We start from the raw sequence: 18829 nt of genomic DNA on the forward strand, positions 1-18829 counted from the left end.
AGGGAAAGCAGGAAAGATCCAAAATTGACACCCTAACATCACAATTAAAAGAACTAGAAGAGCAAGAGCAAACACATTCAAAAGCAGGCAGAAGGCAAAAAATAACTAAAATCAGAGCAGAACTGAAGGAAATAGAGACACAAAAAACCCTTCAAAAGATTAATGAATTCAGGAGTTGTTTTTTTGAAAGGATCAACAAAATTGATAGAACGCTAGCAAGACTAATAAAGAAGAAAAGAGAGAAGAATCAAATAGACGCAATAAAAAATGATAAAGGGGATATCACCACAGATCCCACAGAAATACAAGCTACCATCAGAGAATACTACAAACAACTCCACACAAATAAACTAGAAAATCTAGAAGAAATGGATAAATTCCTCGACACATACACTCTCCCAAGACTAAACCAGGAAGAAGTTGAATCTCTGAATAGACCAATAACAGGCTCTGAAATTTTGGCAATAATCAATAGCTTACCAACCAAAAAGAGTCCAGGACCAGGTGGATTCACAGCCTAATTACACCTGAGGTACAAGGAGGAACTGGTACCATTCCTTCTGAAATTATTCCAATCAATAGAAAAAGAGGGAATCCTCCCTAACTCATTTTATGAGGCCAGCGTCATCCTGATACCAAAGCAGGGCAGAGACACGACCAAAAAAGAGAATTTTAGACCAATATCCTTGATGAACATTGATGCAAAAATCCTCAATAAAATACTGGCAAACTGAATCCAGCAGCACATCAAAAAGCTTATCCACCATGATCAAGTGGGTTTCATCCCTGGGATGCAAGGCTGGTTCAATATATGCAAAACAATAAGTGTAATCCTGCATATAAACAGAACCAAAGACAAAAACCACATGATTATCTCAATAGATGAAGAAAAGGCCTTTGACAAAATTCAACAACCCTTCATGCTAAAAACTCTCAATAAATTAGGTATTGATGGGACGTATCGCAAAATAATAAGAGCTATCTGTGACAAACCCTCAGCCAATATCATACTCAATGGGCAAAAACTGGAAGCATTCCCTTTGAAAACTGGCACAAGACAGGGATGCCCTCTCTCACCACTCCTATTTAACATAGTGTTGGAAATTCTGGCCAGGGCAATTAGGCAGGAGAAGTAAATAAAGGGTATTCAATTAGGAAAAGAGGAAGTCAAATTGTCCCTGTTTGCATATGACATGATTGTATAGCTAGAAAACCCCATCATTTTAGCCCAAAATCTCCTTAAGCTGATAAGCAACTTCAATAAAGTCTCAGGATACAAAATCAATGTACAAAAATCAGAAGCATTCTTATTCACCAATAACAGACAAACAGAGAGCCAAATCATGAGAGAACTCCCATTCAGAATTGCTTCAAAGAGAATAAAATACCTAGGAATCCACCTTACAAGGGACGTGAAGGACCTCTTCAAGGAGAACTACAAACCACTGCTCAATGAAATAAAAGAGGATACAAACAAATGGAAGAACATTCCATTCTCATGGGTAGGAAGAATCAATATTATGAAAATAGCCTTAGTGCCCAAGGTAATTTATAGATTCAATGACATCCCAATCAAGCTATCAATGACTTTCTTTACAGAATTGGAAAAAAACTACGTTAAAGTTCATATGGAATCAAAATACAGCCCGCATCACCAAGTCAATCCTAAGCCAAAAGAACAAAGCTGGAGGCATCACACTACCTGACTTCAAACTATACTACAAGGCTACAGTAACCAAAACAGCATGGTACTGGTACCAAAGCAGAGATATAGACCAATGGAACAGAACAGAGCCCTCAGAAATAATGCCGCATATCTACAACTATCTCATCTTTGAGAAACCTGACAAAAATAAGAAATGGGGAAAGGATTCCCTATTTAATTTATGGTGCTGGGAAAACTGGCTAGCCATGTGTAGAAAGCTGAAACGGAATCCCTTCCTTACACATTATACAAAAATTAATTCAAGATGGATGAAAGACTTAAACGTTAGACCTAAAACCATAAAAACCCTAGAAGAAAACCTAGACATTACCATTCAGGACATAGGCATGGACAAGGACTTCATGTCTAAAACACCAATAGTAATGGCAACAAAAGCCAAAATTGACAAACGGGATCTAATTAAACTAAAGAGCTTCTGCACAGCAAAAGAAACTACCATCAGAGTGAACAGGCAACCTACAAAATGGGAGAAAATTTTCCCAACTGACTCATCTGACAAAGGGCTAATATCCAGAAAATACAACGAACTCAACAAATTTACAGGAAAAAAACAAACAACCCATCAAAAAGTGGGCAAAGGACATGAACAGACACTTCTCAAAAGAAGACATTTGTGCAGCCAAAAAACACATGAAAAAAATGCTCACCATCACTGGCCATCAGAGAAATGCAAATCAAAACCACAATGAGATACCATCTCACACCAGTTAGAATGGCAATCATTAAAAAGTCAGGAAACAACAGGTGCTGGAGAGGATGTGGAGAAATAGGAACACTTTGACACTGTTGGTGGGACTGTAAACTAGTTCAACCATTGTGGAAGTCAGTGTGGCGATTCCTCAGGGATCTAGAACTAGAAATACCATTTGACCCAGCAATGCCATTACTGGGTATATACCCAAAGGACTATATATCATGCTGTTATAAAGACACATGCACACGTCTGTTTATTGCGGCACTATTCACAATAGCAAAGACTTGGAACCACCCCAAATGTCCAACAATGATAGACTGGATTAAGAAAATGTGGCACATATACACCATGGAATACTATGCAGCCATAAAAAATGATGAGTTCATCTTTTTTGTAGGGACACGTTTGAAATTGGAAATCATCATTCTCAGTAAACTATCGCAAGAACAAAAAACCAAACACCGCATATTCTCACTCATAGGTGGGAATTGAACAATGAGAACACATGGACACAGGAAGGGGAACATCACACTCTGGGGACTGTTGTGGGGTTGGGAAAGGGGGGAGGGATAGCTTTAGGAGATATACCTAATGCTAAATGACAAGTTAACGGGTGCAGCACACCAGCATGCCACATGTATACATATGTAACTAACCTGCACTTTGTGCACATGTACCCTAAAACTTGAAGTATAATAATAATAAAATTTAAAAAAAAATGAAAAAGAAAATCAGGGAAGCATAGACAGGTGAGCACTAGTTTTGTGCCTTCAGTGTCCCTTGAGATATAAGCAGCTTCAGAAATAGAGGCCCAGGCCTGAAAATCTGAAAGAAAGGAGGGGTCAAGAGGACTCGGAGTCCAGCAGAGCTTTAAAAATATCTCATATGGCCACAGGTGAAAAACTGTCCCTAACCACTACAGAAAATGAGGGATCCTGACACATACTGAGGTCTTGAGGTGAAATATTGCTACGGAAGCATAACAGGAGGAGGAAGCTCCAGGAGTAGCATGGCACCACCATGCTGATACCAAGGCCCAAAGTAGGGCATTTTTTGATGGCATTAACTAGGTACAGCCCTAGCATTTCATTCTGGCAGAATAAGAAGTAAATCCTCTCTGGAGTGTAAAATTATTCCACAGCCCAAAATTGCTTCTAAAATGTTGTAGGGCAAGTATCAATTTAAATCTACATAGATATTAAGTGTATTAAACATAGTGTGATTTCAATCAACAAAAACAAAACACACAAAATGGAGAGAAAAAAAAGCCAACAGAAAAGGACCAAAATAATTGGCGGATATTGGGCCACTAATATATGATATGCTGAATGCATTCCATGACAAGGTCAAGAAATTTAGCAGAGAACCAGAAACTATAAAAAGAAATCAAACAAATGTCATATATACAGTAATTCAAACCAATAACTCAATGGATGAATGTAACAGTAAATTTGACAGTTAAATTTGCTCTTGCAAGTGATCCGCTGGAAGTTTGGTCAGGCCATGAGGCAATTTGTAATAAGTGAAAAGAATAAAATCATTTCTAGACAAAACAAAAAACGACAAAAAAAGAGAAACACTTTTTGTAGGATCTGCAAGTGGATAGTTGAAGCACTTTGAGGCCTGTTGTGGAAAAGAAAATATCTTCACATAAAAACTACACAGAAGCATTCTGAGAAACTTCTTTGTGATGTGTGCATTCATCTCACAAAGTTGAAGCTCGCTTTTGTTTGAGCAGTTTTGAAACACTCTGAAAAATCTACAAGTGGATATTTGAAGCGCTTTGAGGCTTATTGTGGAAAAGGAAATATCTTCACATAAAAACTACACAGAAGCATTCTGAGAAACTTTTTGTGATGTGTGCATTCATCTCACAGATTTGAACCTTTCTTTTGTTTAAGCAGTTTTGAAACACTCTTCTTGTAGAATCTGCAATTGGATATCTAGAGCGCTTTGGATCCTATGGTTGAAAGGGAAATATCTTCACAATAAAGCTACACAGAAGCATTCTGAGAAACACCTTTGAGATGTGAACATTCATCTCACAGAGTTGAAGCTTTTTGATTGAGCAGTTTTGAAACACTTTTTTGTAGAATTTGCAAGTGGATATTTAGAGGAATTAGGGCCTATTGTTGAAAAAGACATATCTTCACATAAAAACTACACAGAAGCATTCTGAGAAACTGCTTGTGAAGTGCGCATTCATCTCACAGTGTAGAACGTTTCTTTTGATTAGCAGTTTTGAAACACTCTTTTTGTAGAATCTGAAAGTCGATATTTGGAGCGCTTTGAGGCCTATTGTTAAAAAGGAAATATCTTCACATAAAAACTATACAGAGGCATTCTGAGACACTTCTTTATGATGTGTGCATTCATCTCACAGAGTTGTACATTTCTTTTGATTTAGCAGTTTGGAAACACTCTTTTTGTAGGATCTGGAAGTGGATATTTGAAGCGCTTTGAGGCCTATTGTGGAAAAGGGTATATCTTCACATAAAAACTACACAGAAGCATTCTGAGAAACTTCTTTGTGATATGTGCATCCATCTCACAGAGTTGAACCTATCTTTTGATTGAGCAGTTTTTAAACTCTCTTTTTGTAGAATCTGCAAGTGGACATTTGGAGAACATTACAGCCTATGGTGGAAAAGGAAATATCTTCACATAAAAACTACACAGAAGCATTCTGAGAAACTTCTTTGTGATGCATGAATTCAATTCAAAGAGCTGAAACTATCTTTTGATGGAGCAGTTTATAATCTCTCTTTTTGTGCATTCTGCAAGTGGATATTTGGAGCCCTTTGCAGCCTATTTAGGAAAACGAATTATCTTCATATAAAAACTACACAGAAGCATTCTGAGAAACTTCTTTGTGATGTGTGCATTCAAATCACAGAGTTGAACCTTTGTTTTGATTGAGTAGTTTTGAAACTATCTTTTTATATAATCGGGAAGTGGATATTTGAAGTGCTTTGAGGCCTATGGTGGAAAATGAAATATCTTCACATAAAAACTACACAGAAGCATTCTGAGGAACTTCTTTGGGATGTGGGCATTCATCTCACAGAGTTGAACATTTCTTTTGATTGAGCAGTTTTGAAACACTCTTTTTGTGAAATCTGCAAGAGGATATTTGGAGGGCTTTGGGGCCTATTGTGAAAAAGGAAATATCTTCACATAAAAAGTACACAGAATCATTCTGAGAAAGTTCTTTGTGATGTGTGCACTCATCACACAGAATTGTACTTTTCTTTTGATTGAGCAGTTTGGAAACACTGCTTTTGTAGGATCTGCAAGAGCATATTTGGAGCACTTTGAGGCCTATTGTGGAAAAGGAAATATCTTCACATAAAAACTACAAAGAAGCATTCTGAGAAATGTCTTTGTCATGTGTGCACTCAACTCACTGCATTGAACCGATCTTTTGATGGAGCAGCTTTGAAACTCACTTTTTGCAGAATCTGCAAGTGGATATTTGGAGCCCTTTGTGGCTTAATGTGCAAAACGAAATACCTTCACATAAAAACTAGACAGAAGCATTCTCAGAAACTACTTTCTGATGTGTGCATTAAACTCATAGTGTTGAACCCATCTTTCGATTGAGCAGTTTGGAATCTCTCTTTTTGTAGAATCTGCAAGTGGATATTTGGAGACTTTTGCAGCCTATTTTGGAAAAGGAAATATCTTCACATAAAAATTACACAGAAGCATTCTGAGAAACTTGTTTGTGATGTGGGCATTCAACTGACAGGTTTGAACCTGTCTGTTGATTGATCAGTTTGGAAACTCTCTTTGTATAGAATCTGCAAGTGGATATGTGGAGCCCTTTTCAGCCTATGGTGGAAAAGGAAATATCTTCACAAAAAAACTACACAAAAGCATTTTGAGTAACTTCTATGTGTTGTGTGCATTCATCTCAAAGAGTTGAACCTTTCTTTTGTTTGAGCAGTTTTGAAACACTCTTTTTTTAGAATCTGCAAGTGGATATTTGAGCACTTTGAGGCATAATGTGGAAAAGGAAATATCTTCACATAAAAACTACACAGAAGCATTCTGAGAAACCTCTTTATGATGTGTGCATTCATCTCACAGAGTTGAACCTTTCTTTGGATTGAGCAGTTTTAAAACACTATTTTTGTAGAATCTGCAACTTTATATTTCTAGCGCTTTGAGGCCTATGGTGGAAAAGGAAATACCTTCACATAAAAACTCCACAGAAGCATTCTGAGAAACTTCTTTGTGATGTGTGCATTCATCCCACTGAGTTTAACCGTTCTTTCAATTGAGCAGTTTTGAAACACACTTTTTGTAGAATCTGCAAGTGGATATTTGGAGAGCTTTGAGGCCTGTTGTGGAACAGGAGATATCTTCACATAAAAACTACACAAAAGCATTCTGAGAAACTTCTTTGCAATGTGTGCATTCACCTCATGGAGTTGAAGCTTTCTTTTGATTGAGCAGTTTTGAAACACAGTTTTGTAGAATCTACAAGTGTTTATTTGGAGCGCTTTGAGGCCTAATTTGGAAAAGGAATTATCTTCATATACAAACTACACAGAAACATTCTGAGAAACTTTCTTGTGTTGTGTGCATTCAACTCACAGAGTTGAACCAATCTTTTGATTTAGAAGATTTGAAACTCTCTTTTTGTAGAATCTGCAAGTGCATATTTTGAGCCCTTTGTGGCCTATGGTGGAAAAGGAAATATCTTCACATAAAAACTACACAGAAACATTCTGAAAAAATACTTTGCGATGTGTGCATTCATCTCACAATGTTGGACCTTTGTTTTGATTGAGCAGTTTTGAAACTCTCTTTTTGTAGAATCTTCAAGTGCATATTTTGAGCCCTTTGTGGCCTATGGTGGAAAAGGAAATATCTTCACATACAAACTACACAGAAACATTCTGAGAAACTTCTTTGTGATGTGTGCATTCAACTCACAGAGTTGAACCTTTCTTTCGATTGAGCAGTTTTGAAACAATCTTTTTATAATATCTGCACGTGGATATTTGAAGCGCTTTGAGGCCTATTGTGGAAAAGGATACGGCTTCACATAAAAACTACAAAGAAGTCTTCTGAGAAACTTCTTTGCTATGTGTGCATTCATGTCACAGAGTTGAAGTTTCTTTTTGTTTGAGCAGTTTTGTAACACTCTTTTTGCGGAATCTGCAAATGGTATTTAGAGCGCTTTGAGGCCTATTTTGTGGAAAAAGAAATATCACAAAAACTACACAGAAGCATTCTGACAAACTTCTTTGTGATGTGTGCTATCATCTCACAGGGTTGAACCTATCTTTTGAATGAGCAGTTTTGAAACTCTATTTTTGTAGCACCTGCAAGTAGATATTTGGAGCCCTTAGCGGCCTATGGTGGAAAAGGAAATATCTTCACGTGAAAACTACACAGAAGCATTCTGAGAAATTTCTTTGTGATGTGTGCATCATCTCAAAGAGTTGAAGTTTTCTTTTGATTGAGGAGTTTTGAAACTCTCTTTTGTGGAATCTGCAATTGGATATTTAGAGCGCTTTGAGGCCTACTGTGGGAAAGGAAGTATCTTCACCTAAAAACTACACAGAAGCATTCTGAGAAACCTCTTTGTGATGTGTGCGTTCATCTCGCAGAGTTTTACTTTTCTTTTGATGCAGCAGTTTGGAAACACTCTTTTCGTAGAATCTGCAGGTTTATATTTGGAGCACTTTGAGGCCTATTGTGGAAAAGGAAATAACATAAAAACTACACAGAAGCATTCTGAGAAACTTCTTTGTGATGTGTGCATTCATCTCACAGGGATGAAGCTTTCTTTGATTGAGCAGTTTGGAAAAACTCTTTTTGTAGAATCTGCAAGTGCATATTTGGAGCGCTTTGAGTCCTACTGTGGAAAAGGAAATATCTTCACTAAAAATTACATGGAAGCATTCTGAGAAACTTCTTTGTGATGTGTGCATTCAACTCACAGAGTTGAACCTATCTTTTGATTTAGCAGCTTTGAAAATCTCTTTTTGTAGAATCAGCAAATGGATATTTGGACCCTTTCAGTCCTAAGGTGGAAAAGGAAATATCTTCACATAAATACTACCCAGGAGCATTCTGAGAAACTTATTTGTGATGTGTGCATTCATCTCACAGAGTTGTACCTTTCTTTTGATTGAGCAGTTTGGAAACACACTTTTTGTAGAATTTGCAAGTGGATATTTTGAGCGCTTTGAGGCCTATGGTGGAAAAGGAAATATCTTCACATAAAAACTACACAGAAGCATTCTGAGAAACTTCTTGGGGATGTGGGCATTCATCTAACAGGGATGAACGTTTCTTTTGATTGAGCAGTTTTGAAACATTATGTTTGTGAAATCTGCAAGAGGATATTTGGAGGGCTTTGAGGCCTATTGTGGAAAAGGAAATATCTTCGCTTAAAAACTACACAGAATCATTCTGAGAAACTTCTTTGTGATGTGTGCACTCATCACACAGAATTGTACCTTTCTTTTGATTGAGCAGTTTGGAAACACAGTTTTTGTGGAATCTGCAAGTGGATATTTGGAGCACTTTGAGGCCTAATGTGGAAAAGGAAATATCTTCACATAAAAACTACAGAGAAGCATTCTGAGAAACTTCTTTGTCACGTGTGCATTCAACTCGCTGCTTTGAACCGATCTTCCAATTGAGCAGCTTTGAAACTCACTTTTTGTAGAATCTGCAAGTGGGTATTTGGAGCCCTTTGCGGCCTAATGTGCAAAACGAAATACTTTCACATGAAAACTAGACAGAGCATTCTCAGAAACTTCTTTCTGATGTGCGCATTAAACTCATAGAGTTGAACCCATCTTTCTATTGAGCAGTTTTGAATCTGTCTTTCTCTAGAATATGTAAGTGCATATTTAAAGACTTCTGCGGCCTATTTTGGAAAAGGAAATATCTTCACATAAAAATTACACAGAAGCATTCTGAGAAACTCCTTTGTGAGGTTTGCATTCATCTCACAGAGTTAAAACTTTCTTTTGTTTTAGCAGTTTTGAAACAGACTTTTTGTAGAATCTGCAAGTGGATATTTGGAGTTCTTTGAGGCCTATGGTGGAAAAGGAAATATCTTCACATAAAAACTACACAGAAGCATTCTGAGAAACTTCTTTGTGATCTGTGCAATCATCTCACAGGGTTGAACGTATCTTTTGAATGAGCAGTTTTGAAACTCTATTTTTCTAGGATCTGCAAGTAGATATTTGGAGCCCTTAGCGGCCTGTGGTGGAAAAGGAAATATCTTCACATGAAAACTACACAGAAGCATTCTGAGAAACTTCTTTGTGATGTGTGCATTCATCTCACAGAGATGAAGCTTTCTTTTGATTGAGCAGTTTGGAAACACTGTTTTTGTAGAATCTGCAAGTGCATATTTGGAGAGCTTTGAGGCCTATTGTGCAAAAGGAAATATCTTCACTTAAACACTACATAGAAGCATTCTGAGAAACATGTTTGTGATGTGTGCATTCATCACACAGAGTTGAACCTATCTTTTGATTTAGCAGCTTTGAAAATATCTTTCTGTAGAATCTGCAAATGGATATTTGGAGCCCTTTCTGGCTTAAGGTGGAAAAGGAAATATCTTCACATAAAAACTACCCAGAAGCATTCTGAGAAACTTCTTTGTGATTTGTGCATTCATCTTAAAGAGATGTACCTTTCTTTTGATTCAGCAGTCTGGAAAAACACTTTTTGTAGAATTTGTAAGTAGATATTTGGAGCGCTTTGATGCTTGTGGTGGAAAAGGAAATATCTTCACAAAAAACTACACGGAAGCATTCTGAGAAGCTTCTTTGTGAGGTGGGCATTCATCTCACAGAGTTGAAACTTTCTTTCATTTTAGCAGTTTTGAAACCCTCTTTTTGTAGAATCTGCAAGTGGGTATTTGGAGTGCTTTGAGGCCTATGGTGGAAAAGGAAATATCTTCACATAAAAATTACATAGAAGCATTCTGAGAAACTTCTTTGTGATGTGTGCATTCAACTCACACAGTTTTACCTATCTTTTTATGGAACAGTTTTTAATAGCTTTTTTTGTAGAAACTGCAATTGGACATTTGGAGCCCTTTGTGGTCTGTTTTGGAAAAGGAAAAACCTTCACATAAAAACTACAAGGAAGCATTCTGAGAAACCACTTTGTGATGTGTGCATTCCTCTAGCAGAATTGAAGCGTTCTTTTATTTGAGCAGTTTTTAAACACTCCTTTTGAAGAGTCTGCAAGTGGATATTTAGAGCCCTTTTTCGCTTACAGTGGAAAAGGAAATGTCTTCAAATAAACACTACACAGAAGAATTCTGAGAAACTGCTTTGTGATGTGTGCAATCAGCTCACAGAGTTGAAACTTTCGTTTGATTGAGCAGTTTTGAAACACTCTTTTTGTGGCATCTGAAAGTGGATATCTGAAGCGCTTTCAGGCCTACTGTGGAAAAGGAAATATTCTTCACATCAAAACTACGCAGAAGCATTGTGAGAAAAATTTTTGATATGTGTGCATTCAACTCACAGAGTTGAACCTATCTTTTGATTGAGCAGTTTTGAATCTCTCTTTTTGTATAATCTGCAAGTGGATATTTTGTGCTATTTGTGGCCTGTTTTGGAAAAGGAAGTATCTTCATATAAAAACTACACAGAAGCATTCTGAGAAACTTCTTTGGGATTTGTGCATTCATCTCACAGAGTTGAATCCTTCTTTTGATTTAGCAGTTTTGAAGCGTTCTTTTTGTAGAATCTGCAAGTGGATATTTGGAGTGCTTTGAGGCCTATTGTGGAAAAAGAAATATCTTCACACAAAAACTACCATTAAAGTCAGAGAGTGCAACCTATCTTTTCATTGAGCAGTTGTGAATCTCTCTTTTTGTAGAATCTGGAGGTGGATATTTGGAGCCCTTTGCGGCATATGGTGGAAAGGGAAATATCTTCACATAAAAACTACATAGAAGCATTCTGAGAAACTTCTTTGTGATGTGTGCATTCATCTAACAGAGTTGAACCTTTCTTTTGATTGAGCAGTTTGTAAAAATATTTTTTTTGTAGAATCTGCAAGTAGATAATTGGAACACTTTGTGGCCTGTGGTGGAAAAGGAAATATCTTCTGATAAAAACTACACAGAAGCATTCTGAGAAACTTTTTTCTGATATGTGAATTCACCTCACGGATTTGAACCTAACTTTTGATTGAGCAGTTTTGAAACTCTCTTTTTGAAGTATCTGCAAGTGGATATTTAGAGCCCTTCTCGGCCTATGGTGGAAAAGAAAATATCTTCACTAGACAGAAGGATACTGAGAAACTTCTTTGTGACGGGTGCATTCATCTCACAAAGTTGAAGCTTTCTTTGATTCAGCAGTTTCAAATCACTCTTTTTTTTGGATAATATTTTTTTTTATTATACTTTAAGTTTTAGGGTACATGTGTACATTGTGCAGGTTAGTTACATATGTATACATGTGCCATGCTGGTGCACTGCATCCACTAACTCGTCATCTAGCATTAGGTATATCTCCCAATGCTATCCCTCGCCCCTCCCCCCACCCCACAACAGTCCCCAGAGTGTGATATTGCCCTACCTGTGTCCATGTGATCTCATTGTTCAATTCCCACCTATGAGTGAGAACATGCGGTATTTGGTTTTTTGTTCTTGCGATAGTTTACTGAGAATGTTGTTTTCCAATTTCATCCATGTCCCTACAAAGGACATGAACTCATCATTCTTTATGGCTGCATAGTATTCCATGGTGTATATGTGCCACATTTTCTTAATCCAGTCTATCATTGTTGGACATTTGGGTTGGTTCCAAGTCTTTGCTATGGTGAATAATGCCGCAATAAACATACGTGTGCATGTGTCTTTATAGCAGCATGATTTATAGTCCTTTGGGTATATACCCAGTAATGGGATGGCTGGGTCAAATGGTATTTCTAGTTCTAGATCCCTGAGGAAACGCCACACTGACTTCCACAATGGTTGAACTAGTTTACAGTCCCACCAACAGTGTAAAAGTGTTCCTATTTCTCCACATCCTCTCCAGCACCTGTTGTTTCCTGACTTTTTAATGATTGCCATTCTAACTGGTGTGAGATGGTATCTCATTGTGGTTTTGATTTGCATTTCTCTGATGGCCAGTGATGATGAGCATTTTTTCATGTGTTTTTTGGCTGCATAAATGTCTTTTTTAGAGAAGTGTCTGTTCATGTCCTTTGCCCACTTTTTGATGGGGTTGTTTGTTTTTCTCTTGTGAATTTGTTTGGGTTCATTGTACATTCTGGATATGAGCCCTTAGTCAGATGAGTCGGTTGCGAAAATTTTCTCCCATTTAGTAGGTTGCGTGTTCACTCTGATGGTAGTTTCTTTTGCTGTGCAGAAGCTCTTTAGTTTATTTAGATCCCATTTGTCAATTTCAGCTTTGGTTGCCATTGCTTTTGGTGTTTTAGACATGAAGTCCTTGCCCATGCCTATGTCCTGAATGGTAATGCCTAGGTTTTCTTCTAGGGTTTTTATGGTTTTAGGTCTAACGTTTAAGTCTTTAATCCATCTTGAATTGATTTTTGTATAAGGTGTAAGGAAGGGATCCACTTTCAGCTTTCTACATATGGCTAGCCAGTTTTCCCAGCACCATTTATTAAATAGGGAATCCTTTCCCCATTGCTTGTTTTTGTCAGGTTTGTCAAAGATCAGATAGTTGTAGATACGTGGCGTTATTTCTGAGGGCTCTGTTCTGTTCCATTGATCTATATCTCTGTTTTGGTACCAGTACCATGCTGTTTGGTTACTGTAGCCTTGTAGTATAGTTTGAAGTCAGGTAGTGTGATGCCTCCAGCTTTGTTCTTTTGGCTTAGGATTGACTTGGTGATGCGGGCTCTTTTTGGTTCCATATGAACTTTAAAGTAGTTTTTCCCATTCTGTGAAGAAAGGCATTTGTAGTTTGATGGGAATGGCATTGAATCTGTAAATTACCTTGGACAGTATGGCCATTTTCATGATATTGATTCTTCCTACCCATGAGCATGGAATGTTCTTACATTTGTTTGTATCCTCTTTTATTTCCTTGAGCAGTGTTTTGTAGCTCTTTTTATAGAATCTGCAGGTGGATATTTAAAGCTCTCTGAGGCCTATTGTGGAAAAGGAAATATCTTCACATTAAAACTACACAGAAGCATTCTGAGAAACATCTTTGGGATGTGTGCATTCATCTCACAGAGCTGAAGCTTTCTGTTGATTGACCAGTTTTGAAACAGTCTTTTTGTAGAATCTGCAAGGGGATATTTGGAGCCATTTGTGACCTATTTTGGAAAAGGAAATATCCTCACATAAAAATTACACATAAGCATTCTGAGAAACTTCTTTGTGATGTGTGCATTCATCTCACAGAGTTGAAAGTTTCTTTTGATCGAGCAGTTTTGAAACACTCTTTTTATGGAATCTGAAATTGGATATTTGAAACGCTTTGAGACCTATTGTAGAAAAGGCAATATATTCACATAAAAACTACACAGAAGCATTCTGAGAAACTTCTTTCTGATGTGGGCATTCATCTAACAGAGCTGAAGTTTTCTTTTGTTTGAGCAGTTTTGAAACAATCTTTTTGTAGAATCTGCAAGTGGATATTTGGAGGGCTTTGTGGCCTATTTTGGAAAAGGAAATATCTTCACATAAAAACTACATAGAAGCATTCTGAGAAACCTCTTTGTGATGTGTGCATTCAACTCACAGAGTTGAACCTATCTTTTGATTGAGCGGTATTGAAAATCTCTTTTTGTCGAAACTGCATATGGATATTTGGAGACCTTCACGGCCAATGGTGGACAAGGAAATATCTTCACATAAAAACTACACAGAAGCATTGCGAGAAACAGCTTTGTGAGCTGGGCATTCATCTCACAGAGATGAACCTTTCTTTTGTTTGAGCAGTTTTGAAACACTCTTTTTGTATAGTCTGCAAGTGGATATTGAGAGCGCTTTGAAACCTATTATGGAAAAGGAAATATCTTCACATAAACACTACACAGAAGAATTCTGAGAAACTTCTTTGTGATGTATGCATTCAACTCACAGAGTTGAAGCTCTCTTTTGATTGAGCAGGTTTGAAACACTCTTTTTGTAGAATCTGCAAGTGGATATTTGCAGCACTTTGAGGCCCATTGTGGATAAGGAAATATCTTCATATGAAAACTACGCAGAGGCATTTTGAAAAACTGCTTTGTGATGTGTGCATTAATCTCCCACAGTTGAACTTTTCTTTTGGTTGAGCAGTTTGCAAACACTCTTTTTGTAGAATCTGAAGGTAGATATTTGGAGCGCTTTGAGGTCTATGGTGGAAAAGAATATATTTTCACATAAAAACTACATAGAAGCATTCTGAAAAACTTCTTTGTGATGTGTGCATTCATCTCACAGAGTTGAAGCTTTCTTTTGAGTGAGCAGTTTCGAAACTCTCTTTTTGTAGAATCTGCAAGTGCATATTTGGAGCGCTTTCAGGCCTATAGTGGAAAAGGCTGTATCTTCACATAAAAACTACACAGAAGCATTTTGGAAACTTTTTTGCGATGTGTGCATTCACCTCATAGATTTGAAGCTTTCTTTTGATTGAGCAGTTTTGAAACACTTTTTTGTAGAACCTGAAAGTGTATCTTTAGAGCACTTTGAGGACTATGGTGGAAAAGGAAGTATCTTCACATAAAAACTGCACAGAAGAATTCTGAGAAACTTCTTTGTGATGTGTGCATTCAACTCACAGAGTTGAACCTATCTTTTCATTGAGGAGTTTTGAATCTCTCTTTTTGTAGAATCTGCAAGTGGATATTTAGAGCCCTTTGCGGCCTATTGTGGAAAAGGAAATATCTTCACATAAAAACTACAGAGAAGTATTCTCAAAACTTCGTTCTAATGTGTGCATTCATCTCAAAGAGTTGAACTTTTCTTTTGTTTGAGCACTTTTGAAACACTCTTTTTGTAGAATCTGCAAGTGCATATTTGGAGGGCTTGGAGGCCTATTGTCAAAAAGGAAATATCTTCACATATAAACTACACAGAAGCATTCTGAGAAACTTCTTTGTGTTGTATGCATTCAGTTAGCAGAGTTGACCATTTCTTTTCATTGAGCAGTTTCAAAAATTTTTTTTTTTTTTTTGTAGAATCTGCAAGAGGATATTTGGAGTGCTTTGCATTGTATGTTGCAAAAGGAAATACCTTCACATAAAAACTAGACAGAAGCATTCTGAAAAACTTCTTTGTGATATGAGCATTCGTCTCACAGAGTTGAAACTTTCTTTTGATTCAGCATTTTTGAAACACACTTTTTGTAGTATCTCCTAATGGATATTTGGAGCTGTTAGAGGCCGACCATTGAAAAGGAAATATCTGCACATAAATAATACACAGAAACATTATGAGAAACTTCTTTGTTATATGTGCATTCATCTCACAGAGCTGAAATGCCCTTTGATTGAGCAGTTTTGTAACAGTGTTTTTGTGGTATCTGCAAATGAATATTTGGAGAGGTTACATGCTTATTGTGGAAAAGGAAATATCTCCACATAAAAACTACACAGAAGCATTCTGAGAAACTTCATTGTGATGTGTGCATTCATCTCACAGATTTGAACCTTACTTTTGATTGAGCAGTTTTGAAACACTCTTTTTGTTAGAATCTACCAGGGAATATTTTGAGCCCTTTTGTGGCCTATGGTGGAAAAGGAAATATCTTCACATAAAAACTACATAGAAACATTCTGAGAAACTTCTTTGTGATGTATGCTTTGAACTCACAGATTTGAAACTTTCTTTTGATTTTGCAGTTTTGAAACACTGTTTTTGTAGAATCTGCAAGTGGATACTTGGAGCACTTAGCGGCCTATTGCACAAAAGGAAATATCTTCACATAAAAACCTAATGGAAGCATTCTGCGAACCTTCTTTCTGATGTGTGTATTCATCTCACCGAGTTGAACTTTTCTTTTGTTTGAGCAGTTTTGAAACTCTCTTTTTCTAGAATCTGCAAGTGGATACTTGGAGCACTTTGTGGACTACAGTGGAAAAAGAAATATATTCACATAAAAACTATACAGAATAATTCTGAGAAACTCCTTTGTGACGAGTGATTTCATCTGACAGAGTTGAACGTCTCTTTTGATTGAGCAGTTTTGAAACAATCTTTTTGTAGAATCCGCAAGTGTATGTGTGGAGCGATTTGAGGCCAATGGTGGAAAAGGAAATATCTTCAGATAAAAACTAGACAGCAGCATTCTGAGAAACTTCTTTGTGATGTGTGCATTCATCTCACAGAGTTGAACCTTTCTTTTGATTCAGAAGTTTTGAAACACTCTTTTTGTAGAATCTGCAAGTGGATATTTGGAGCGCTTTGAGGCCTATGGTGGAAAAGGAAATATCTTCAAATTAAAACTAGACAGAAGCATTCTGAGGAATTTTTTTGATGCGTGCATTTATCTCACACTGTTTTACATTTCTTTTCATTGAGGAGTTTAGAAACACTCTTTTTGGGGAATCTGCAAGTGGATATTTGGAGCGCTTTGAGGCATATTGTTGAAATGGAAAAATCTTCACATAATAACTAGACAGAAGCATTCTGAGAAACTTCTTTGTGAGGTGTGCATTCAACCCACAGACTTTAACCTTTCTTTTGATCGAGCAATTTTGAAACACTCTTTTTGTAGAATTTGTACATGAATATTTGGAGAGGTTTGAGGCCTATGGTGGATAAGGAAATATCTTCACAAAAAAACTACAGAGAAGCATTCAGAGAAACTACTGTGTGATGTGTGTGTTGAACTCACAGAGTTTTAATTTAATTTTGATTGAGCAGTTTTGAAACACTCTTTATGTAGAATCTGCAAGTGGATATTTGGAGCGCTTTTAGGCCTATGGTGGAAAAGGAAATATCTTCAAATAAAAACTAGACACCAGCATTCTGAGAAACTTCTTTGTGATGTGTGCATTCATCTCACAGAGTTGAAGCTTTCTTTTGATTCAGAAGTTTTGAAACACTCTTTTTGTAGAATCTGCAAGTGGATATTTGGAGCGCTTTGAGGCCTATGGTGGAAAAGGAAATATCTTCAAATTAAAACTAGACAGAAGCATTCTGAGAAATTTTTTTGATGTGTGCATTCATCTCACACTGTTTTACATTTCTTTTCATTGAGGAGTTTAGAAACACTCTTTTTGGGGAATCTGCAAGTGGATATTTGGAGTGCTTTGAGGCATATTGTTGAAATGGAAAAATCTTCACATAAAAAATAGACAGAAGCATTCTGAGAAACTTCTTTGTGATGTGTGCATTCAACTCACAGAGTACAACCTTTCCTTTGATTGAGCAGTTTGGAAACAGGGTTTTTGTAGTACCTGCAAATGGATATTTGGAGAGATTTGAGGCCTATGGTGAAAAGGAAATATCTTCACATTAAAACTACACAGAAACATTCTGAGAAACTTCTTTGTGATGTAGGCATTGAACTCACGGAGTTGAACCTTTCTTTTGATTGAGGAGTTCTGATACGCTCTTTTTGTAGTATCTGCAAGTTGATATTTGGAGCCCTTTGTGGTCTATAGAGGAATAGGAAATATCTTCACATAAAAACTAGACAGAAGCATTCTGAGAAACTACTCTGTGATGTGTGTATTCATCTCACAGAGTTGAACCTTTCTTTTGATTGACCAGTTTTGAAACACTCTGTTTGTGGAATCTGCAAGTAGATATTTGGACTGATTTTCGGCCTCTAGAGAAAAAGGAAATATCTTCACGTAAAAACTAGACACAAGAATTCTCAGAAACTTCTTTGTGATGTGAGCATCCAACTCACAGCGTTCAAACTTTCTTTTGATGGATCAGTTTTGAAACCCTCTTTTTGCACAATCTGCAAGTGGATATTTGGAGAGCTTTGAGGCCTATGGTGGAAAAGGAAATATCTTCACTTAAAAACTACACTGAAACATTCTGAGAAACTTCTTTGTGATGTGTGTATTCAACTGATAGAATTGAAGCTATCTTTTGATTGAGCATTTTTGAATCTCTCTTGCTGTAGAATCTGCAACTGGGTACTTGGAGCCCTTTGAAGCCTATTTTGGAAAAGGAAATATCTTCATATAAATCTACCAAGAAGCATTCTGAGAAACTTTTTGTGATGTGTGCCTTCACCACACAGAGTTTAAACTTTCTTTTGTTTGAGCAGTTTTGAAACACTCCTTTGTACAATCCGCAAGTGGGTATTTGGAGCTCTTTGGGGCCTAATGTGGAAAAGGAAATATTTTCACATTAAAAACTACACAGAAGCATTGTGAGAAACTTCTTTGTGATGTGTGCGCTCATCTCACAGAGTTCAAGATTTCTTTTAATGGAACAGTTTTGAAACACTCTTTTTGTAGAATCTGTGAGTGGATATTTG

At 36.9% G+C, this 18829-nt stretch overlaps 3 annotated features.

Moving 5' to 3' along the window:
* Nucleotides 4713–5611: an enhancer, noted in NCBI's record as "OCT4-NANOG hESC enhancer chrX:61782657-61783555 (GRCh37/hg19 assembly coordinates)". NCBI's record gives its function as "activates a minimal SCP1, AML or CMV promoter by ChIP-STARR-seq in primed H9 embryonic stem cells {active_cell/tissue: H9 hESC(primed)}" and the evidence as "EXISTENCE:reporter gene assay evidence [ECO:0000049][PMID:30033119]".
* Nucleotides 5868–6753: an enhancer, noted in NCBI's record as "NANOG hESC enhancer chrX:61783812-61784697 (GRCh37/hg19 assembly coordinates)". NCBI's record gives its function as "activates a minimal SCP1, AML or CMV promoter by ChIP-STARR-seq in primed H9 embryonic stem cells {active_cell/tissue: H9 hESC(primed)}" and the evidence as "EXISTENCE:reporter gene assay evidence [ECO:0000049][PMID:30033119]".
* Nucleotides 10718–11252: an enhancer, noted in NCBI's record as "OCT4-NANOG hESC enhancer chrX:61788662-61789196 (GRCh37/hg19 assembly coordinates)". NCBI's record gives its function as "activates a minimal SCP1, AML or CMV promoter by ChIP-STARR-seq in primed H9 embryonic stem cells {active_cell/tissue: H9 hESC(primed)}" and the evidence as "EXISTENCE:reporter gene assay evidence [ECO:0000049][PMID:30033119]".

This window comes from Homo sapiens, chromosome X (genome assembly GCF_000001405.40).
Source record: "Homo sapiens chromosome X, GRCh38.p14 Primary Assembly".
Taxonomy (NCBI): domain Eukaryota; kingdom Metazoa; phylum Chordata; class Mammalia; order Primates; family Hominidae; genus Homo; species Homo sapiens.